The sequence below is a fragment of the Homo sapiens genome, chromosome 22, assembly GCF_000001405.40.
Source record: "Homo sapiens chromosome 22, GRCh38.p14 Primary Assembly".
In the NCBI taxonomy this organism is placed as follows: Eukaryota; Metazoa; Chordata; class Mammalia; order Primates; family Hominidae; genus Homo; species Homo sapiens.
Window position 1 is genome coordinate 20,182,723 of NC_000022.11, and position 23,280 is coordinate 20,206,002.

Below are 23,280 nucleotides of genomic sequence, written 5' to 3' on the forward strand. Positions count from 1 at the left end.
GGCTAATCCAGTGGTCATTATTGCATGGGCTGTCATGCCCTTCTCTATCCGTGCTCCCTGAAGAGGCGAGGGTCCACTGCCGGCTGCCACACAGAGAAGCATGGCCACAGAAGGAGGCTCCTCTGCTCTGAGTGGGATGTTGGCTCCTCGGGCCACACTGGGCTGGAGGACAAGGGGAGGCAGGGGTGGGAGGGCCCTGGGCTGGGGTGGATGGGGTGGGCCTCACAGATGGCATGGCCCTGTGGACAGCGAGTGGCTTTTCCTCCCCAGGTCTCGTCCTGAGCCCTGCTCCTCCTCCTGGCCTCCCCTGGCCCCACACCTCTCCCACTGGCTTCCTTTCCTGGCCTCTTTCTCTCTGCTCCTTGTCTCCATCTCTCATTCCTCTGGGCCTTGCTTCACGGAGTCACCAGCCCGTGTGACAATGTCCACTTTCCCTGGCCTCATGTCTCCAACTTAGTGTGGGACCTGCCTTTCCAGGCTCTTTGGCCACATGAGATCATGGAAACACATGGCTGCTGTACCCACGCTGACCTGGCTCAGCCCTGGCTCATGATGCTTCCTGTGCACCCTGGTCCCATCTGTACCTCAGTTTACCCATCTGCCACACAGGGCTGAGGGCATCTGCCTTGTGTGTGGCGGTCAGGCTGGCCCAGTGACCGCCGAGCCATTTTGGCTTCCTCAGGTCTGGCCACTGTGAAGGACATGGCTGTGCCCCCCGTCTGCCCTGTGTGGCCCTGGGCACATTAACCCCTTCCATAAGCCTGGTCTGCAGACGAGCGCCCACCGGGCTGGCAGTGCCTGAAGAGTCTCGGGCGACGTCCACTCACCTCCCAATCTGGTCCCAGCTCTGCTCAAACTCAGACTGGAGGATCCCCCAGGGCAGTGACTCCAGTTCAGAGTCTAGCTGACTGCGTCCCTGGCAGCCAGGCACGGCCCAAGGTCCAGAGCTGGAGACTGACCCCCCTGTGTAGGACCTCTGGGAAGTCCCCAGGACCCAAGACGGCTCAGGGCTAGTGAGGTAGGGACAGGTGGCTATTTCAAGCCCCCAGCGGGCTTCCTGCCTGGGGCACCTGGGCACAGTGGAGAAAGATGGCTCCCGGCAGAACACATGCCCCCATCCTTCGGGGCCAGATGCCTTGGGTTGGGCACGGAGCAGGGCCCCCAGCAGACACAGAGGCCAGGGTGGGAAGGGCCAGGGCACCGCGCAGTCTCTTGCCCTGTGTCAGGGCTCCAGGCCTATGGTGGGGCTGGGCCTACCCACCCTGTCACTTTCCCCATACGGCTTTGGGGTCCCAGGGGTTCAGGGGCCCCTCCTGCCTGACCCAGCCTTAACTTTTTGTTGTTTCTTCTCATTACAAAAGAAGCATGTTCAAAAGAACCCCACAGTCCTCCATGAACCCCACAGTACCCCGTGAACTCCAGAGTCCTCCATGAACCCTACAGACTCTCATGCACCCCACAGTCCCCCATGAACCACATAGTCCCCTATGTACCCCACAAGCTCCCATGTACCCTATAGTCCCCGATGCACCCCACAGTCCCCTATGTACCCCACAAGCCCCCATGCATCCCACAGGCCCTTATGTACCCCACAGGCCCCCATGCACCCCACAGTCCCACATGCACCCCACAGGCTCCCATGAACCCCACAGGCCCCTGTGCACCCCACAGTCCCACATGCACCCCACAGGCCCCCATGAACCCCACAGGCCCCCGTGCACCCCACAGTCCCCTATGTACCCCACAGGCCCCCATGTACCCCACAGTCCCCTATGTACCTACCCCACAGGCCCCCATGCACCGCACAGGCCCCCATGAACCCCACAGTCCCTCACAGCCCCCATGCGGGGAAAGGGCCTCACTTCTGGCCGCTGACTGACTTGCCAGTTTCCTGGAGTTCTTTATCCAACTTTCAAGGTTGCTGAGTCCCGGGAACACCTCAGAAACCTCACGAAACAGTGACAGGTTGTCAATCAAGCAGCAAGGTTGACATGTTTGAGCAACGTTCAGCCTGGGAGGCGCTGGGGCCAATTAGCAGAGACTCCCAGGTAGCAGAGCCCCCGGGCTCATGGCTGGGGGGTGGATGGTCAGCCCTGACGCTGCTGCCCCCACCCGAGGATTTCTCCCCAGCCATGGACTTGGGGCTGAGGGATTCCTGTACCCTCCCGGCCACCTGGACAGGGTCCCCGCCGTGGCCCGGCCTAGGGCGTTGGCTCAGACCACACCTGCCCAAGGATGGAGCCTGACACCCAGGAAGCAGCTCCTTGCAGCGCCCTGGGCCTCCGTGGGGCCCCTCTTGGCAGAGTGACCTGGGGACCAACCCCCTTCTGTGAGGCAGGTGAGGATGCTGCCTTGTGGGCTGAAGGCCAAGGGGAAGAGGCATACTGGGGCCACTCAGGCTGAGCAGTGGTCACAGCGGCCACCCCTCCCTCTCCAAGGCTCTGGCGACCACTGTTCTGTTTAGCCCCTACCCCTCCCCACCTTTTAAAAAGACAGGGTCTCGCTCTGTCACCCAGGCTGGAGTGCAGTGACACAATCAGAGCTCACTGCAGCCTCCAACTCCTGGGCTCAAGCGATCCTCTTGCTTAAGCCTCCGAGTAGCTGGGACAACAGGTGTGTGCCACCATGCTCAGATAATTTTTTTAAAATTATTTTTTGTAGAGATGGCGGTCTCACTTTGTTCCTCAGGCTGGTCTCAAACTCCTGGCCTCAGGCAATCCTCCCTTCTTGGCCTCCCAAAGCCCTGGGATTATGGGAGCCAGGTTCCCAAACACTCTCTGCTCTTCCCTCCACCTGGCATCTCCCTCCCCAAAGCTCTGCCCCATCCTGAAGTCCCCACTGCAGATGCTGCCCCTCCCAGAAGGTAGCTGGGCATGGGCTCTGCAGCTGCAGAGTTATGGACTGGGCCTCCCTGGGCAGCTTCCTGGGAGCTGCACCATGCACGGGTCACGGGACCCTCCTGGGTAGGTTGAACTGGGAGGCGACAGAGACCCTTCTAAAGTCCCTATGCCGGGTGCTGGGCTGTAGTCACATGGTGCCCTCCCCAGGAATCCCTGAGGGGTGGGTGCGTCTCTCTCAGCAGCACCAGCAAGGACCAGCGGGGAGGGGTGAGCATCTTTGTTCTGTCCAAGAGCCTCTTTGGAGCACGAGCACTTGCCACATGCAGGAGAGAGCCATGTTCACTTTCCTTTTATGGCTGAGTTTGAGATGTCTGGATAGAGAGTTATCAGCCAAGGCACTGATAAGGTCTGCGGGGGGAATATACTGTAAAGGGCTGAGCGTGGAGTGGGGGCTACCTCTCCTGCTCGGGCTGGTGTTGGGGGTTGGGGTGGGCTGGGTGAAGCTGCCACTCCTGGCCTGGATATATGGAGCCCTGGGCAGTCCTGCCTGTCCCATGGCTTTGCTGGACACAACAAGAACTGCCAGATGTCATTTGTGTGGGAATCATTTTGCTGTTTGAGCGAAGTTGGATTTGTTAGTGTGCTCACCAGTGTGGATGGATGAGGTCTGACCAGGAGGCTGCCTGTTGTCTGTCTTTCACAGAGGGCCCTCCACACCCAGGGTAGAGCTGGGGAGAAGGAGTCCTGGGGAAATACTGAGTTAAACAAGGCTGATGTATCCTCTGCAGGACTTCTCAGTGCCTTTAGCATGGCGGGTGTAGGTGAGTCTAAGAGATGGCCAGGTAGCCTAGGTGTGGATATCACCAGGCTAGGGCTGCTGTCTGTCTCCTCTGCTCACGCTCCTGTGCAGGGAGGGACTTGAGGGTGGGCCTGGGGAAACTGTGGAAAGTAGGAGTCTCTGTCCCCAGACACTGTCTCTGAACTGGGGCCAAGATTCAGTCATTTCATGTCCCCACTAGGCAGTGCTTACAGATGTTGCCCAGTATCAGCTGCATTGATTAAAGGAAGAGCTTTCTGACCATCAGGTGGGGGCGCTCTCCTGGTGAGTGGGGCTGGGAGGCAGAGCCCTGTCCTCCGCGGTGTGACTGGGACGTAATCCCCTCCTGGGGCTGAGTGGAGCAGGGGCTTGCGCCTCCCGCAGGCCTAGCTGTGTGGGATCTCATGGCACTCTGCTTTTATTCTGTTTGCTCCAATACCTTCTGCTTGCCACCTGCGATGCTTATTTTCCATTTCCAGTGGTGCTGTAAGACTTCCTTTCAAAATATAATCACTTAAGTTAAAAAAGCCCATTCGAAGAAAGCCCTCGAGTAAACAATAGTGGAGCAGGTGGGCAGGTGGAGCTGGCCCTTGGCCGGTGTGTGGGCTGGGGGCAAGTGGGAAGGGACAACGTGGGAAGGAAAGGGGAGCAGGGGGTGTGGGGACCCTCCCTGGGAAACTCCCAGCCCGCCCTGGCCTCTGTTACTGCCTGGCCCTGCTGAGCTCCCTGGGCTGCTGTCTGGTGGCCAACACTGGCGTTGGCTGCCCACATGCCATGGGGTCTGCACACAGCAGGGGCTGGGGGACAGCGTCACAGGAGGAGGAAGGCCACCTGTCACAGGAGAAGGAAGGGCACACAGAGGCTTGTCTGAGCCCCACGTGAGGATTAACAGAGGGGATGCATTGCAGTAAAGAGCACGAAGCTGCTGTGACCTTTGCCTCTGACCGCCCCCCTTGCAGGGCCACGCCTGCACGTAGCCTCTGGGCAGGTGCCATGGGGTCTGCCAAGGCTGGCATTGGCTGCCCAGATGCTGTCCTGCCCTGAGGTTCCATAGTCCTCCGGCCACTGTGGCCTCACACTGTGTCCAGCTATGCTTTTTATTTACCTGTTAACCTCCCAGCATACTTATTCATGATAACAGTGACAGGGAATGGGGCGAAAGTCTGAAGTGTCCTTCACCAGCAAGGGGCTGGTGGAAAAGTGGGACTCCTGTCTGAGGCCACTCTGGGTGGTGTCTGTGTCCCAGGACTCTACAGCCAAACCCAATGCAGCTGGGGGCCTTCCATCCACAGACCCACATGAGCAGTGGTAAGGACCTGCTATATTGAGCCAGCTCCTCACACACGCCCTCTTCCCAGAGGGTAAACTGAGGCCCAGGATGTTGCCTCTTGCCTGAGGCTGCATGGCTGGGTGGAGCCAGGCCCTGACCTCTTTGCTTCTTCACCTGCCCAGGGCAGGTGTTTGGATGTTGAGTCGACTGATGCCCCAGGGCGCCAGGCCCTCCTTCCATCTCACGGTCCCTGCCCCTGAGGCCCGTGTGTTGGGGCTGGGTGGAGGTGGCCCTGTCTCCTTTCCAGGTGAGTGGTGCGCACCCTGGTGAGCAAGGACCCCAGGCCCTGGCTGCAGGGCCTCCCTGTGGCTGGAGGTGTCTTCCACACGGCCAGTGTCCGGCACGAGCACTCTGGGGTCGGACACTTGAGATGGGCTGGAAGGAGGGGGCATAGAGCCTTGCACAGACAGGGGCAGCTCAGGCCTGGGTTTGAATCCTGACCTAGGCACCCTGTGGTGAGGACAGCCACAGGCTGAGGACACTGGTGTCCAGCATGTGCCCAGCTGTCACCTCCACCCTGGGTTTGGCATGGGGCTGGCAGCAGGCCCAGGAGGGATGGGAGTCAGAGTGTCAGGGAAGCAGTGGGAACTCGGGACACTCTGCTGCTCCATGGGAACAGCATTGGCCCTGTGGTGTGGGCAGCCTCAGCAACTGGGCAGGGGCTGTCAGAGCCCAGGGGATGCTCCCAGAAAGTGGGATGGGAGCCCAGAGCCCACAGCCCCTGATATCACTCAGCCTGGGAGCAGGCCCACTGCCTCCACCGTGCAGACGAGGAAACTGAGGAGGGCCCTTGGGTCCCCTGCCCAGGCCTCACAGAGAGCAGGTGACAGCTGGAGCCACCCCAGGCTTGTCCACCCCCCTGAAGGGATCCCCAGGTGCCCACCCTCTTCCTGCCATCTGGGGGCATGACTCCTACTGCTGACTTGAGAGTGAAGCTACCGCCACCGCCTCCCTCCACACCTGGGCCAGCCTGGGCCATGCCAGGGGCATGCCTGCTTCTGGCCCCATGGGCCTACTGGTCTTGACCATTAAAAAGCATGTGTTGGGGCTGGGCGCGGTGGCTCACACCTGTAATCCCAGCATTTTGGGAGGCCGAGGCAGGCAGATCATTTGAGTTCAGGAATTTGAGACCAGCCTGGCCAATAGGAAGAAACCCCGTCTTTACTAAAAATACAAAAATTAGCTGGGCCTGGTGCCTCCCACCTGTAGTCCAGCTACTTGGGAGGTTGAGGCAGGAGAATCGCTTGAACCTGGGAGGTGGAGGTTGCAGTGAGCCGAGACTGCGCCATTGCACTCCAGCCTGGGCGACAAAGTGAGACTCTGTCTCAAACAAACAAACAAACAAACAAACAAAAAAGCACGTATTGGGACTACAGTCAATGATAATTTATTGTGCATTTAAAAATAACTAAAAGAGGCTGGGCACAGTGGCTCACGCCTGTAATCCCAGCGCTTTGGGAGGCCGAGGTGGGCGGATCATGAGGTCATGAGAACGAGACCAACCTGGCTAACACAGTGAAACCCTGTCTCTACTAAAAAAAAAAAAAAAAAAAAAAAAAAAAAAAAAAAAAATTAGCTAGGCTTGGTGGCAGGCACCTGTAGTCCCAGCTACTCCAGAGGCTGAGGCAGGAGAATGGTGTGAACCTGGGAGATAGAGCTTGCAGTGAGCCAAGATGGAGCCACTGCACTCCAGTCTGGGCGACAGAGCAAGACTCCATCTCAAAAAAACAACAAAAAACAAACAGACAGAAAACTAAAAGAGTATAATTGGGGTGTTTGTAACACAAAGAAATGATGAATGCTTGAGATAATGGACACCCCATTTCCCCTGATGTGACACTAACCATTGTATGCCTGTATCAACATATCTCATGTACCCCGTATCTCATGTACCCCATAGATATACCCACCTACTATGGTCCCACAGAAAAGGCATGTATTGGGGCCAGGCCCAATGGCTCACACCTATAATCCCAGCACTGGTTTGGGAGGCCGAGGCAGGAGGATCACTTGAGGCCAGGAGTTCAAAACCAGCCTGGACAACATAGCGAGACCCCCATCTCTACCAAAAACAAACAAAACAAAAAAACTTAGCCAGGTATTGTGGTCTGCACCTATAGTCCCAGCTACTTGGGAGGCTGAGGCAGGATTGTTTAAGTCCAGGAGTTTGAGGCCACAGTGAGGTATGGTTACACCATGGGTGACAGAGCAAGACTATTTCTCTAAAAAACAAACAAAAAACAAAAACAAAACACAAAAAAGCATGTGTTTTCCTGTTCTCCCACCACCCCACGGCAAAGACAGTACTGGCTATTGACACAAAAGGTGTGAAACGCCCACATGCTAAGGAAGACAGAAGCCCCCAGAATCCAACCTGGGGGTGTTTCAGAAGTGCTGAAAGGGAACAGTGTGGTCCCTTTAAATGATACGAAAGAGAGGAAGGGGGCTGGGCGCGGTGGCTCACGCCTGCAATCCCAGCACTTTGGGAGCCTGAGGCGGGCGGATCACCTGACGTCAGGAGTTCGAGACCAGCCTGGCCAACATGGTGAAACCCTGTCTCTAATAAAAATATGAAAATTAGCCGGGCGTGGTGGTGGACTCCTGTAATCCCAGCTACTTGGGAGGCTGAGGCAGGAGAATTGCTTGAACCTGGGAGGCAGAAGTTGCAGTGAGCCGAGATCAGGCCATTGCACTCCAGCCTGGGCAACAGGGCAAGTCTCCATCTCAAAAGAGGGGAAGGAAAGTGCTGGGTAGAGGAAGGCATGGTCCCTGGCTAGGGTTCCACCCCCATGGACCTAGGTGAGGACAGGCATTTCCTGCCCACATGTTGTGGCATTTCCCAAGACTACCCGGGCCTGCCATGCTCCATCTTGTGCCTATAAAAACCCCTGAGACCCTAGTAGGCAGATACTCTAGCGGCTGGACATTGAGAGGAGTGGATCAGTGGAAGAACGCACAAGTGGCTGGACGTCAAGCGGAATCCACAGACAGGCACTGGCAGGCCTGGCATTTGTGAAGCCGGCTGCGGCAGAATGATGTGGAGTTTGGCTGGGGCAGTCGTAGGAGAGCTCAGGCCGCCCAGGGGAAAATCATCTCCCTTCTGGCTCCCCCATCTGCTGAGAGCTACTTCCATTCAATAAAACCTTGCACTCATTCTCCAAGCCCACGTGTGGTCAGATTTACACAAGGCAAGAACCCCAGGATCCAGAAAGCCCTCTGTCCTTGTGATAAGGCAGGGGTCTAGTTGAGCTGGTTAACACAAGCTGCCTATAGATGGCTAAACTAAAAGCACCCTGTAACACGCCCAGTGGGGCTTCACGAGCTGTCAACATCCACCCCTAGACACTGCCGTGGGGTCAACACCCCACAACTTGCCCGTCTGTATGCTCCCCCAGAGGTTTGAGCAGCAGGGCACCGAAGAAGTGAGCCACACCCCCATTGCATGCCCTGCGAAGGGGACAAAGGAACTTTTCCTGTTTCAGGGGAATGGTCCTCACTGCCTCCTCCAGATTTTCTGCCCTGAGTTGTGAGGACAGCACAGCTTGGGCTCTGTCCACAGCTTTTACTGGGAGCCTGAGGCTCCGTCACTCACTCGGCTGCTTTTTCCTGTGCTGGATGAAGCCCAGGAGCTGGCTGTGCAGGTGTGTCTGGGATTTCATGGGCATAGATGACTCCAGGACAGCTCCTTAAACACCAAGCTCAAGCAGGTATTGCCAGCTAAATGAGGTCAATTCCTGGCAGTGGATCTCAGGGCGCCGGCCTTGGACCCCACCTGCTTGCCCACCCCCAGCAGGCAGAGACCTTTCTAGAAGGTCACAGATGCTGCTGCGGGATGGATCGGGTCCCAACCCTGGCTGGGAGTGATGCCCGACAAGCTGCTGTAATTCTCAATTCTGCTCCGGAGGCCTTGGAGATGCTGCAGGCGGGCAGGTGGGGTTGGGGGTCAGCGTCACAGGAGGGGAAGGCCACCCATGGGGGCACATAGGGGCTAGTGTGAGCCCTGCATGAGGATTAACAGGGCATGCATTGCAATACAGAGCACGAAGCTGCTGTGACCTTCCCCTCTGATCGCTGTCACAGGGCCTAGCCTGCACGTAGCCTCCTGGGCAGGCACACCCCTGGACCCCTCCCTGGTGCTCTGCTGGAGGCCACGCTGGGCTCTGGAATCTTACTGCACAGAGCTCCTGGAGACCCACCCTCAACCCTTGGGCCCCCTCTTCCTTCCTGGGTCCTGGAGGGGGCTGTTAGGGGGCATGAGGCCACGCAGCCCTTGAGCACCTACTGTGTGCAAGGGCCTGGCGTTTGTGAAGCAGGCTGCGGCCATCCTGGGTGGGAGTCAGGGAATGGGGGTCCCGGAAGTGCTGGCTTTTCTGGTGGCTGTGGGGGATCAGGGGGCCTTGCTGTGTATCTGTGAGCTGAGCCATCCTCTGAGGGGCTGAGCGCTGGCAGGAACCTATCACGTTTCCCAGGGGCAGGGTTGGGCATGAGAAGCCCTATCCTGCCTCTCAGCTAGGCCATGTTTCATACCCCACAGATGCTTTGGAGGTGACAGATCTGGGTCAAGACTGGCCTTCCTGGTGACCAGCCTTCAGATGGACACTGGGCGGCAGGTGTTCCTGGGCTGCCATGGCTGGTCTCCTGTGCTGGTCCCCAGAGCAGCCTTCCTCTCCCCTCCCCAGACACCCCATCCTCTGCCGAGGCCTGTGAGCACCTGCTGTGTGCCCACCTTTTGCTTAAACCCCAGGACGGCCTTACCCAGATGGGGAGCCTTGGTTGGATTGAAGGGGCTTGCTGGAGGTGCAGGGGGAGGGGAGGTCAGAGCCCACATGCATCCTGAGCTCCCTCATCTTCCACACCCCATGCTCATCCCCCCAACCTGGCCCCGATGCTATCAGCCCTTAGCTGGGGGAGGGCGGACCCCGGGGACCTCAGAGGCAGGGCTCCTGCAAGCACTTTGCTGCACATGTCTCTGTTCCTGAAAATGCCCCAACCCCACCAGGGCAGCAGGCAGCAGGGTCTGTGGGAAAGTCAGGAGCCCCGCTGATGGTCCTGAGGGGCCACCCCAGCCTCAGGAGGAGGACCTGCCCTTCTCAGGGCCCTGCTGTTGCTCCTTCAGCTCGCCTCCTCCATGCTGGCCTCCGGGCTGCTCACACGAGGATTAGAGGCAGGAATGAAGAAAACCAAAGTCAGACCACTACCAGGACCAGGGTACAAGAGACCAGGCCTGGACACCACTTATGGCTGGGGGCCTTGGGCTGGTCAGCGCCTCCCCCTCAAGGCATATACACAGTGGATCGGTAAAGGCTGTCCCATCTGGGGCTGTGTCAGGCCTCTGTGGGAGGAGGCATGTGGCGGGCCCAGCTCAGTTGATGGATTCAGACCCATGCATTTGGCCAGCCCTAGTCAGGGAACATTGCAGCCACTGCCTGCCCAGCACTGGGCAGGAGGAAGTGTCCTTTCTAAGAGTGGAGGGAGCTCCTGCTCTCAGGCCTCAGAAACGAGGTGCTAAGGGGGCTTTCAGGCAGCAGCCTCAGGCAGGAGGAGCTCCCGTGCCATGCGAATGGCTTTGCCCAGACACCGGGTGGCTCAGGCAGGTCACTCTGCCTTCTGTGTCCTCCTCCTTGGTGGGCTGGTGGGCTGAGCCAGGAGTCGGGCTTGGGGCCTGTTCCAGGCTTGCAGGCAGGAACAGGCCCGGGACACCCCAGAGACAATATTGATGCTGTTTCTGCCCAAACAAATGCCAGCTACTAATTCCGGTCTCTGTTGGAAACACAGAAATCAATGCTCACAGAACAGGGAGGCTGGCCCTCGAGGAGCAGTGTGGTGTTGGGTCCCCAGGCAGTGATTACGACAGGACAGGCAGGCAGGAGAACAGAGCTCTCGACCTTAGACACGTCCCATGCGGCCCTCACCTGGCGACCTGGACTCGGCAGCACGTTGGGGGTCAGAACAGTGGGTTCTCAGGGACCTGGCCTCGGGGGGCACCCGTCATCCCTCAGCACCCTCCCCTGCAAAAGGGAAGCAGGGCCTGGACATGACCCCCAACCCTGGCTCCTGCCACATTCCCCTGACTTTATTTACCACCCGAGAGACTCATAAATAATAGTTGAGGGGTCAGTGAGCGAATGAACTAGCCAAAAAACCAGCTGGGGAATGCGTGTGCAGGTGGAGAGAATGGGCGCTGGGCCTGCCTGGGCACAGGTTCACGGGCCTCTGGATGCAGCTCACCCCGTGGGAGCCCACAGCCCTGCAGGCCGGGCAGCCTGAGGGCCAGGACAGCCCCACCCTTCTCTCAAGGTGCTGGTCCAGGGCCTGTTTCCCCATCCATGTAGCATTCTTGATCTCTGGGTCCTACCACGTCCCTTGGATCTCAGGCTCCCAGCCAGGAGGGGCTCCCACCACCATCTCATGACCTTCTGAAACCCCAGCGCTGGGTGTGCACCTTCTTGCCAGGCTCCATGGGCAGCAAGCACCCGCCCCTGGCCTGCTGGGCACTGCACCCAGGAGGTGCCCAGTACTTGCTGGGACAGCTGTCTTCTGCTATGTCCTGGGCTCGTGTCCTGCCTGCAGCTTCCGGGCTGGGGAGCTTGGGCAAGGCTCTTGGCCTCCCCCACCCCCACCTTGGTATCCCTCAACCCATCCCCCTGGACATGGGGTTGGTGCCTCTATTGGAGGAGGTGGTAGGTCAGGCAGCCTCTGGCCCGCAAAGTCGGCCCTGGGTCCACCAGCCGCCCCTCTGCCCTGCCTTTCCCGGGTCCCGCCTTCCCTTTCTAGGGCTATGGCTGCTTGTGGACAAGCGTCTCACGGGTAGGAAACGGGACCTCTGAGAGCTCCTGGCCTGGCTGGGTCCTCAGCATGTGGGTCTGTGAGCCAGGTCCACGCCAGGCAAGGGTTTTTACCTCTCTGAGCCTCGGTTTCCTCGTCTGTAAAAATCAGTGAGGGGATGTCTCCTTGTTGCACACACAGCAGGACTGAGATTAGAGCCACAGCCTGCCCCACCCCAGCCCCTGGTCAGGTGGGGGTGCTGCCATCTCCCAGCAGCCTGCCCAGGCCCCTCCCTCACCTGTTCCGAGACTTCCTGGCCCCACATGGGCACCCGGCATCCTTGTGGGCTCACCACAGCCTGATGCTGCCCACAGCCCATCTGTGTGGCCTGGCAGGGGGCCCCACAGCTTGGAAATGCCGGTATCTCCTTGCAGACCCCAGGTCAACACTGTAGATTCCTCCCTCTTCTGTCATGGACCCCAGGAAGGAGGGTGGGTGGGGCCCTGGGCTGGTGCACCGCCCCAGAAGCCCTCAGCTCCTGGCAGGACCCCCCTCCCCCTGCAGGCCCTCCCCTGGGAGCAGCTGCTTCCCTGTTCATTCCAGGCTGGGTGGGGACCCCCAGGATGGCCCTTTCTCTGCTGTCTGTGGGCCTAGGGTGGGGTGGCCCTGGCCAGGCCCTGTATGGCCTCCCAGGCTTCCCCTTCACCCACTCGTTGTGGGCATGTGACACATTCATTCTAACTACAAACTGACACCCACTCACTGAGGGCATTGAAAAACCGGAGAGCCCCAGGAGCCAGGTCACGTGGTGACCCCGACAGAGACACCCCACAAGGGTGTCCCAGCCAGGTAGAGTGGCCCTGGGTTGGGGAGGCTTTTAGGTTGGATGCTTGGTTAGGCACCTGCCAGGTGAACCTCAGCTGGGGGCAGAGAACCTGGGGCCAAAATCTGGGGGCCGTGGTCCTGGGGCGCTTCCCTGGGCCCCACTGCAGGCACATGCCCTCCCACCACGCGGGGGAGCTCCCCCTGCCCGTGAGCCCTGCTTGCACTTCCTCACCCGTCCTCACCCTGCCCCAGCCTCCAGCCCGCCCTGGAGCAGGCTCTGTCCCTCAGGCCCTCTTGGCCATGGGGTCAGCCTGGTGCCTGCTATTTTGCCCTCAGGACCCCTTTCTCCTGACCCCTGCCAGGAGCCCTCAGCATTCACTGAGTTTTGGAGGAGCTCCCTAAACACAGCTGTGTTCACTCTGGAAGGCTGAGATGTGGGGGCAGGTGCGGGTGGGGTAATGATGTTGGGTGGGCTGGCAGTGGAGCCAGAGAAGGCCCTCCCAGGACGAGGGCGCAGGGGGCTGGAGGGGAGGGCACTCGGGCCCTGCTTGAGATTGAACTCAGTTACTGAGCAGCCAGTCTGCCAAAGTCTGATCTCCCGGCTTTCATTCTACATTAAAAATTGATCTGAGATGGGAGAAGTGAAGGCAGTGGCCATGCCACCGAGAAACACTAGCTGTTCTCTGAGGCTGCTGGAGACACAGCCTCCTCCAGGAAGGCTCCCAGAGGCAGCTCCAGACCACCAGGCCCGCTTCCTCCATGCTCATCTGCCCCACGCTTGCCTCAGACTCCTGGCAGATCACTAACCCCTCTGAGCCCCCAGCCAGGCCTGGATGGGTTTGTGTTTGCATGAGGAGGCCCTGGTCCTCACAGGCTCCCCCTGTAGCCAGGGCAGTCCATCTCATCCTCACCCCCGTCCACTCTGCCGGGGCTCCTCTGTCCCTGAGTTCTGCCTGAGGGGCTGAACCACCAGCCTCGGGGCGGGGGAAGCCCACTGCACACCACCTCCCTGACATCCCGGGACATCTTGCAGAGAAGGAAACTGAGGCTTAAGAGAGGAAACAGTGTCTGCACAGGGCACAAAGCCACAGAGCCGCCTTCTGCACAGCTCCCACCTGCACCTGCGTCTCCAGGGGAGCTGGGATTTTCCAGGAGTAGGTCCTCAACTCTTGGGCATGTGGCTGGGCCCTTCCCGACCCTCAGAGGAGAGCAGGAGCCACGGGACAGGAGTAGACATGAAGAAGCCTCCACAGGGTTGGGCTTGCCCAGGGCAGCCTGTGGCCAGCGCTGGGGGTCACGGCCCCAGTGGCCTTCCGAGGGAATGGACAGGTCTGCCCCATCTCTCGCCTTGGCTCAGGCTCTGTGTGTGCTCACTCAATGCAGCCGCCAGCTGCTGCTCCCCCACGGGGTCTCGCTCACTGCATGCGGGCTCTGCTGCTGCTGTCGGTCCTTGGCCTTGAGAATTCCTCTCTGGGAATGCGTGTTTCTCTCTGTGAACATGTTTTGCCTTCTACAGGCCTCCTTAGCCTCATCAGAGACTCCTGAAATGAGTTTCCCGGTCCTGTGTGGGCCAGGGGCCACCCGCCTCTCCAGACCCCCAGGGCCCATAGTGGCCTGTCCTTTTGTCCTGCGGCCTCGGGCCCCTGGGGTGTGTGGGGGGGTTTCCTGTCCTTCCCCTGAGCCCTGGGGCACGGGGACCCCTGGGTGGATGCCCCTCATCCTCATCCAGTGCGCTTGCTGCCGGCCCCAGGCCCCCCGCGAGGGGCCCTATGGAGTCGAGACAGGAGCCCACCTATAGGCCCTGTGTGGCCTGGAAGGTGGGGATGCCAGGGGAGCTCTCCTGCAACACCCCTGACTTCCAGACTCCCCTGAGGGAGGGACTTCCACAGGGAAATTAACCCCGGACGAGCTTGGTTCCCAGGAACTCACTTCGAGCCTCCAGGAAACAAACAGCCCCAGAGGGCAGGACACTCGGTGTCCGAGGCACAGGAGTGAGCAGGGTCTCCTGGGCACCGGTGACCTCCACCAGCTCATCCTTTGTCCACACCTGGGTGGGCTGTCCCTGGCGGGCTCTCAGGGTAGAGGCGGGGGCTGGGTGGGGGCAGAGCAGGTGCAGAGGCTGGTGAGGCCTGCTGGGTGGGAGGTGGGGGTGACCGCTCTCTGGCTGCCTTGACTCCATTCATCAGCCTGCAGACCCCCCTCTCCAACCCCCAGTCTTTGAAGCCACAATAAATATTGATTTGGGCAAATCGATGCATTTCCGAGGGCCTGGGTCGATAGCAAAGTTACAAGGATCCGGGCAAAGTCATTCACGTGCCCAACTCCAGCTCTGAGAAGAGCCTGGCTAGAGCTAAAAGGTGACTGGCCATGTCCCGGGTGCCAGTGCCACCAGCTGGGCTACCCCAAGGGATGGGCAGTGTGGCCCCTCACTCTCACCTGGCCACAGCCAAGCTGGGGTTGACCGTCAGAGTCCGGCTGCCTGTCTCTGCGTCTCCCCGTGTCTGCCCCCTGCCCAGCTCCTGGCTGCATGGCTGCCTCTCCCCGTCCTGTCTGGGTGTCTTCCCGCCTGGATCCCAGACACTCTTATGGGGCGCTTGGCACTGGGATCTGAGCAGTTCTGCACATGGTAACCACGGGTCCAGGGTAGAGCTGAGGGCCCTCATGCGACGCCTCCCTCGGGCTCTCACAGTGGCCCCTGCCCCTAGATGGGAACTCATTGCTTCCTAAGCTGCCTCTTCCATCTCCACCCGCAGCAGTGCCTCACCCTGACCCTGGGCCACAGAGGGGACATCTCCCCAAATGCACACACCAGCCTTGGCCTGCTTAAGGTCACCTGGCCATCTCCCCGCTCTGGCCTCAGCCTCTGTGTTTCTGCTGTCTTCTCTGACTCCCCGTGGGGTCTGTGGAGACCTGACCACTGCGGCCCCACCTGGGTGCTGTTTCGCACGTGGCTCCCTCTGCTCTGTCCACCGTCCACAGTTCAGCCCTTCATCCAAGCCCCCCAAGTGCCTGAACTGCCCTCTCTAGAGGGCAAGGCTGGGGCCCAGGACCCTGGGAGGAGGTGCCTGTCCTCTGAGTCCTCCTAAGCCAGAGGCTGGGCAGGGATGCGCTCAAGGGCGGTGGGCATCTGGGCTGAGCCCTGCACCCTCTTTTCTCCTGACATCCCTTGCCTCCCCCCACCCCGCCTGGTCTCCCTCCCTCTCTAATCATTTCTCATGGCTCCAACCCACTCTGCCTTTCTTCCTCTCCTCGAACTACAAGGCTGGGTCTGGTGCACTCTGGTGGGGCCACCTTATTTATGAGAATTTGGGAAATGCAGATGTGATGTTTCCAGCTAATAGCCCCAAATCACTTGCACCGCCCCATTAGCGGGGAAACCAGCCTGTGTACATTACATACCACCTAAGTGGGAGCCGAGACAGCGGTTTTATGACCCCATAAAACTTTGGGAGTTTATTGCTATTGAACAAACATGTAATCCGATGCTTCAAGTTCAATATATATAGCCAGCAGCATCTAGAGCCAACCATGGCCGTGGCTCCTACAGCTGGGCCAAGCTGCTGAGACATCTAGGGGATTTGGAGCCGATTGGCAATTGATCTGCTGTAGGACAGGGGCAGGATTTATGGTGGCCTTGCAGGGCTGGTCCTTCTGCATACTAAACAGTCCAGAGGACAGCAAGGGGAGGGCAGCCGCCTGGAGCCCAGGGCAAGTGGCTGCTTGTGGGTTGCTGGGGCAGAGCCTTTAGCAAAGGGGTATCCACCTTGAGGACCTGCCCCTGTAAAAACCCAGCTTCCTTGGAGACTCAGCTGCGGTGGGAGCCATGCAGAAGGTGGCCCTGTGGCTGTGTGCCCTGCCCTTCAAGAGGCACCATTGCCTCCTGAAGCCTGTTTCCTTGTCTGCAAGATGTCCCAGGATGGTTTGTTGCCCAAGAGGTGGCCCAGCAGAGCTCCTGGAAGGAAGGGGCAAACACACAGGCCAGAGCAGCGGTCAAATGGCTAAGCCTTATCCACCAGAGCCCCTCACCCAGCTCCCATTCATCCACTGTCCACCATCCATTCATCTAAACACCCATCTATCTAACCATCCATCCTTCTACCCATTGATCCTTTCACCCATCCACCTGCCACTGATTTATCCATCCATCCCTCCACCCATATACCTATCCATCCATCCATCCATCCATCCATCCTTTCATTCATCCATCCACCTGCCCATCCACCTGCTCACCCATCCATTCATGTGTCCATCCATCTATCCATCCATTTACTCACCTGTCCATCTCTCTATTCATCCACTCACTCATCCATGCATCTATCCACCCATCTGCTAGTCCATCTGCTCATCCGTCCATCCACTCATCTATCCATTCATCCATCCCTCCCACCATTCATTCCTCTATTTGTCCACCTGTCCACCTACCATTCATCCACATAGCCATCTCTCTATGCACCCATCTGTTCATCCCCCATCTACTCACCCATCCATTTTCACCTACTCACTGTCCATCCACCCACCTGTCCATTCACCCACCTATCTGCCCATATACTTGTGTGTCTGTTCACTCATTCATTCACCCTCCATTCATCTGCCCATATACTTGTATGTCTGTTCACTCATTCATTCACCCTCCATCCATCTGCCCATCTGGCCTTCTATCCTTTCCCTCAAAGCTGCCCCTTGTCCAGGGACAGGGCTGTCCTTATAGTCGCAGAGATGATTGGAGCCTGAGAGAGCCAAGGTGACTTATCTCACCTTGCAGAAGGTGCTGGCATTATTGCTTGCTCAGGACACCCGCATCCTCTTGCCCTGGGCTTCACACTCCAGGAATGCCTTTCTCATGTCTGTGCTGCATATACTTATTGTAAGTAAAGGAGAACCTCATGGCCGATGATAGTTTGTTCATTTCCTCCCAGTCTTATTGTGTGCACCTATTCTTTCTTCCAAGTTCACAGTCTCTCTGGGCTTGTATGGCGTGCATTTCACTCACCACAGATGTCTCTTCGGGGCTGGTCCATGGTGTTACTCTCCCAGCATTGACTTAAACATTTCCCCACTGTTGGATAGTGTAGCTGTTTCCACCTCTTTGTGGTTATAAATATGCTGTGGTCATTATCTGAGCTGGCAGAGTGAAGTCCGCCCCTCTACGTGTTTAATTAGCATAGACTCCAAGAGGGGGCATTCATGGGTTAAGCATCTCATGACTTGGGACACCCCTTGTCCGATGACAAAAACCTGGCCCTGTGATCCCTGCCCTCAGTGGAGGAGGGAGGGCCTTCCGTGGTGCCCGGCCGGAGGGGCTGGGATGTGTTCACTGTGAGTCTGGTGGGTCTCACATGTAGGCAGAGTGGGGACAAGGCAGCCTGCTCTGTGGCGTGTCCCATGGCGTCCGGGTTGCCTTGTCTGCAGTTCACTCACATTGCCCTTGGTGTTGCTGCTTCAGATAAGTTCCTGCCGTGTTAATGCTATTAATTTTTTGTCATGTTAGTGTCAAAAATTTACCCGCCTCATTTCTTGTCTTTTAGCTTGATGTTTTCCTTTGAGCCACCTGAGAATTTAGCTTCCACACAGTCAAAGTGAACTCATCCTTCCCTTTATTCTTGGAAAGTTCCTTCTCACCAGGGATTCGGTAAATATTTGCTTCTGTTTACTTCCTGTTCCTTTCAATGGTTTAAGTTATTTTCTGTCAGCATCAACTTATTCCCCAGCCCATATCCGCAGGCCTCACACTCTAATTAAGAGGATGCCCTATGGCCGGGCGCGGTGGCTCACGCCTGTAATCCCAGCACTTTAGGAGCCCGAGGCAGGCTGATCACTTGAGGTCAGGAGTTGGAGACCAGCCTGGCCAACATGGTGAAACCCCGTCTCTACTAAAAATACAAAAATTAGCCGGGCATGGTGGTGTGTGCCTGTGATCCCAGCTACTCAGGAGGCTGAGGTAGGAGAATTGCTTGAACCTGGGAGGTGGAGATTGCAGGGAGCCGAGATCATGCCATCGCACTCCAGCCTGGGCAACAGAGTGAGACTCTGTCTCAAAAAAAAAAAAAAAGTAAAAAATAAGAGGACACCCTGTGTCCCTCCCTCTCTCCCTCCCTACCCTTCCTTCCTTCCTTCCTTCCTTCCTTCCTTCCTTCCTTCCCTCTTCCCTCCCTCCCTCCCTCCCTTCCTTCCTCCCTTTCTGCCTAAACTTTTCTCAATAGCCTCAAGGCTGCAAATAAGACCTGCCCCTGGCCTCAGTGACTTGGTGGCACAGACGTGCAAAGCACAGAACGCAGAAATTCAAGTCAGGGCTGAGGACTGGGGGTGGATGGGGGCCTGCTGGGGGGCTGGGGGAGAGAGTGGCAGGGTGAGCTGGGGACATTGGAAAACTCTTGCAGCTGTGACTGATGATGGTGGGCAGGTGTAAGGGGTGGCTTTTCGGGGGAGGCACATTTTGGCACTGGGTTATGTGCTTCAGCACCAGGAGCAGGGGTGAGGTAGCAGACGGAGGGGAGGAGGCCATACACCTGGGCAGGGGCTGGATGGGACTGGCTGACAGCTGACCTCCCTCCTGTGCCCAGAGAGCCACAGCCTGCTCGGTGGCCCGCATGGGATGAAACCTTTGTGGTCCCAGCTTCTGATCACTGGAGGTGAGAACTAGTTTTTGAGAGACGGGAGCAACTGCTGAAGACCCAGGGGCTGGGGCACGGCCCAGCGTTTGCTTTTGAGAGCTTCGCCATGGCCCGTGTGGAGAGGACAGCAACCACCAGGGAGGGGGCTGGGTGCCCCAGCCTGTCTGCCAGCTTCTGAGCCCCACCTGCGTCTGCACCTACTGGAGACAGCTGGGTGGGCTCTAACCTGGATGGTCCTGGGTGGGAATCCCAGCTCTGCCTCATGTGAGATGAGGGCTGAGCCTCTGCTCATCTTAGAACCTCAGTTTTGTCACCCATACAATGGGATGGTCAGTTAGCAAGGAAACGCGTGTAGGTGCCCCGTGTAGTGCCGGCTGCCTGGGAGGCGCTCCCAGAATGTTTCAGAGGTGATTCTTCTCAAGGACTTCCTGGGCCCCTTGGTCATAAGGCTCTGAATTCCCAGCCTCTGGCCTGAGTGCCACAGACCCTAGAGGGTTCCTGGCCACTCCTGGGGTCTGTGTGGACCTCGCTGCTTAAGGCCCCCCGTGTGCACTGAAGCGCGACACCCCGCACGCAGGGGCCATCAGGTCTTTGGGGATTGATAGAATTAAGCCCATGGAACGTGCATTTGCTTGCTGTGAAGCCGCAACAATCTCGCTGCCACAGGGCAGAGGACGTTCTGAACTGAGTGTCCCCTCGGCTCCCTCACCGGCCTCCTGCACCAGCAGATGGTGCCTGATGTGGTGGCTGGCACTGGTGCCCCTTGCCCTCTGAGCAGCGGTACCATCAAAACCCATCTTCCCAGCAGCTCAGGATCACCGCGGTGGAGTTTCCAGTCGCAGATGCCCTTGGCAGGGGCTGTGGGACTGCAGGGGAGACGGAGGTCTGGGCCCTACCATGTGGGGGCAGCATGCAGGAGGGGCCCATTCCTGCCCCCCGGCAATACAAGAAGCCTACGGGGGTGCCCAGGGGTCAGGGACCTGAGAGATGTGCTCACTGAGACCTAGCATGCTCACCCCCAGCTGCCAGAGGGGGTAGTTCCCAAAGAGGGGCAGGCCCTCAGAGTGAGCTCCTGTCCTGAGATGGGCAAGGGAATATTCCTGGGACACTGCAGAACTGTTACCAAGCCAGGCACAGATGGGGCCAGGCCCCTCGGCCTCTAAGACAAGGCCGGCCCATGGATGGAGCACGATGGCCCTGACCTTGGGCACAGACCCGACGATTGAGTGAGATGGAGACACAGGCTTGGCTTGTCCCCAAGAAGAAAGAGGCACAGAAGCAGCTACAGAGTTTCTTGCTTCCCTGTTTGGGTTGCTGCTGGCTCAGGTACCACAGCTGGCAACAGAAACAGAGGTCAAGGCCCAGAGGGAGGGAGGGGTCGGGTCTGCTTTGTCCAGGGCTGGCTGGCCCCAGGAGGGCCCCGAAGCTGTGGCAGAAGCAGGTACCAGATGGTCAGTGTAGCACTGTGGCTAGCACCCAAAACTGGACATGGGCTGGGAGCAGCCTGAGATGCAGGGCAGAGGACAGCAAGCCACGAGTCTGAATGGCCCCTGTTCTGGAGGCAGTGCTGGGAGGTGGAGGCTGGAGGGGGTGTCTCGCAGAGCCTGGTCTGCTGAGACATAGGCTGGGACAGGCTGCTGGGTGTACTGTCCCTGGGAAGTGCAAGGTGGCGAGTCAGGAAGGCCCCAGGAGCAGGGTTGGGGCAGGAGCCAGTGAGCAGGGCAGGACCCTCATCTGGAGGGGCTGGGGGAGGTCTCCAGTCTGGGATGGGGGTGTTCCCGGCACCAGCCCAGTGTTTCTGGTGCAGCAGCCACGTCATTATGGTTGGAATGTGACCCCATTAGCCCTGGGGCGGGGCTGTTCAACATCCTGAGGATAATTGATCAGAGGGAGGAGGGGCTGCACCGCTTCCTAGCAGGTTGAGTTAATTATCAGCCTGCATTAGCACTTGACCTGTGGCATGTGTCAACTCATTACTGCTAATTGCAGGGACTCAGTGACCTCTCCGAACTTCTGTCACCCCTGTCACGGCCCCTGCCCTGTGGAGGCCTGTGGAATGGGAAGTGGGGAGGGGAAGGAGAAGGGGGCGGAGTCAGCCGGAGCCTCCTGGCCAGGCCTGGAGTCACCCTGTCCTGCCACAGCTCTCATGGGTTTAGAGTGGGCCCTGGGGCAGAGGGTTTGCAAGGATAGGGGTGGGTGGCTCTGCCGAGGGCGGTGTTCTGAGTAGGTCTCATTCCCCAGTCTGCCCAGCCTGGCCCCACCCCAGCTCTGCTGCCCTGTTACTTTGTCCCCCTGTGTTCACCCTCCACTTCCTGCCGGGGACACTCCAAGGCCTGCCAAGGTTGGAGCAGGGGTGGGACTCAGCCATTCAACAAACGCTTCCTTGGTTATGCAGGGCTGGGCATTGGGGTGGGGGGCTGACCTGGACCCTCCAAGACATCAGATTGTCCAACTGCTCAGTTTTCATTGGGGCAAGTGCCTCGCTGAGGGTGAAGGGGGCTGTGAGTGCCCATCAGGGAGCCTGGACAGGTCCCGCCTCTCACAGCTGTCCCACTCTCTGGAGCTGCCTTGGTGGCAGATGGCACTGTCCTAGAAAGGTGAGGCTGGAGCTGTCTCTTCCACCAGGGGTGGCCAAGGACGCTTCCAGGGTCTTCCATGCAGGCCTCCAGGGTCACCCTGGGCGTGGCTGAGGGCATGCAGACCACGCTGTGCTCCCCCCCACCCCCCATGCCCGTCGCTTGCCTGACATGCTCCTCAGCTGTCTTGCCCCGCAGAAGCTGTGTGGTCTCCCCTGTGAGTAGAGTCGGGCTCCATGATCCTCCGGAGCAGCGCCAGGGACTCTCCCCAGGCACAATTTTAAAGGGGGCCCTAGGACCTGCCAGGTCCACGGAAGTGGTCCTTGTAACTCTCTCCCTGGTGGCAGCCTCTGGTGCATTCCGGCAGGGGCAGCCCCTCCTCATCACAGGGACCCTGTGTGCCAGGCCCCAGCTGCGTTGCCGCTGAATTATGGATTTAATAGCAGAGAAGCCTTGCAGGCCGCCTGTGCTGGCTCGGGAAACCGGGGCCCAGCCGGGGCCTGTCACGGTCCTGGTGCCGCCCTGCTTCCTGTCGGCGCCACGGAGCAAGCGGAGAGATTTATCTTCCCGGCTTTAAGAGGTACTAACGGAGGAGGCTGAGAGGCAGGAGCTGAATAATTGATGGCCTTCTCTGGCTCAGGATCTGCTGAAAATGACACGGTGCAAGGCAGAGGGGCTGAGAGTGCTGACCACAAAATGCTGAGAAGCCACTCCAGGGCGGTCACGGCCAGAAGGAGGACCCCCACTCAGGACGGGGTCACAGGCATTTGGGGCGGGTGTCAGAGGCTCCTGCCCTGGGTCATTCCAGGGGGCCAGGATACCCAGAAGCTGGGCCTAGAGGCCCACAGGGCTGGCTCACCCCCACTTCCCTCTCACACGCCTGCCATCACCGGTGCTTCAGCCCAGCAACCCCATGGCTCGTTGGCCCCGTCCACAGCCCCCACTGCCTCCTGTGTGCTGGGCGTGGGCCTCTGAGCTCTACTCTCAGCCTCCTTAGCCCCAGGAGAGGAGTGGAGGACAGGGGTTTAACGTGGGGTGTGGTGCGGAGCGGGGAGGGCTGTGGCGCCCCCTCAGCCCCTCCTTTCCTAACAGCCTCAGCCTCCCCCCTGGAGAATCCCCTACCTGCTGGGCACATCTGGCCTCTCCCCACCATTCTGTCTCCAGCCGGGAGATCTCTACCCAGTGAAACAGTGAAACAGGAAGGGTTCCCTGGTTACCCCGCGCAGGGCGCAGGGCATGCAGCGGGGGAGTGGCTCGCTTCTTCAGTGCCCCACCGCTCACACCTCTAGGGGAGCATACAGACGGGCAGGCTGTGGGGCTCTGACCCCATGGCAGTGTCTGGGGGTGAATGTTTACAGCTCTTGAAACCCCAGTGGGAGTGCGTTACCGGGTGGTCTTTTAGTCTAGCGGTCTGTAGGTGGCTGGTGAGAGTGAGCTCAATTAGACCCCTGCCTTATAACAAGGACAGAGGAATTTCTGTATCCCAGGGTTTCTTGCCTTGGTGTACCAAAAAATT

At 58.8% G+C, this 23,280-nt stretch overlaps 1 long non-coding RNA gene across 1 annotated transcript, besides 3 other annotated features; it reads right to left on the bottom strand.

Annotated features, from left to right (window-relative positions):
• Nucleotides 3,924-4,461: an enhancer, noted in NCBI's record as "H3K4me1 hESC enhancer chr22:20174169-20174706 (GRCh37/hg19 assembly coordinates)". NCBI's record gives its function as "activates a minimal SCP1, AML or CMV promoter by ChIP-STARR-seq in naive H9 embryonic stem cells {active_cell/tissue: H9 hESC(naive)}" and the evidence as "EXISTENCE:reporter gene assay evidence [ECO:0000049][PMID:30033119]".
• Nucleotides 5,255-5,958: a transcriptional cis regulatory region, noted in NCBI's record as "candidate enhancer chr22.431 targeted for multiplex CRISPR interference". NCBI's record gives its function as "positively regulates CLTCL1 gene expression with high confidence in K562 cells {active_cell/tissue: K562}" and the evidence as "EXISTENCE:mutant phenotype evidence [ECO:0000015][PMID:30612741]".
• LINC02891 (long intergenic non-protein coding RNA 2891) lies at nucleotides 16,007-22,196 on the bottom strand. Its single transcript, NR_038460.2, has 4 exons — nucleotides 21,931-22,196; nucleotides 21,611-21,777; nucleotides 17,333-18,604; nucleotides 16,007-16,529 (listed from the first exon to the last, which is right to left on the bottom strand). It is a non-coding gene; the product is annotated as a long intergenic non-protein coding RNA 2891 (long non-coding RNA).
• Nucleotides 20,576-21,171: an enhancer, noted in NCBI's record as "H3K27ac-H3K4me1 hESC enhancer chr22:20190821-20191416 (GRCh37/hg19 assembly coordinates)". NCBI's record gives its function as "activates a minimal SCP1, AML or CMV promoter by ChIP-STARR-seq in primed H9 embryonic stem cells {active_cell/tissue: H9 hESC(primed)}" and the evidence as "EXISTENCE:reporter gene assay evidence [ECO:0000049][PMID:30033119]".
• Nucleotides 22,197-23,280: the final 1,084 nt, after the last annotated feature.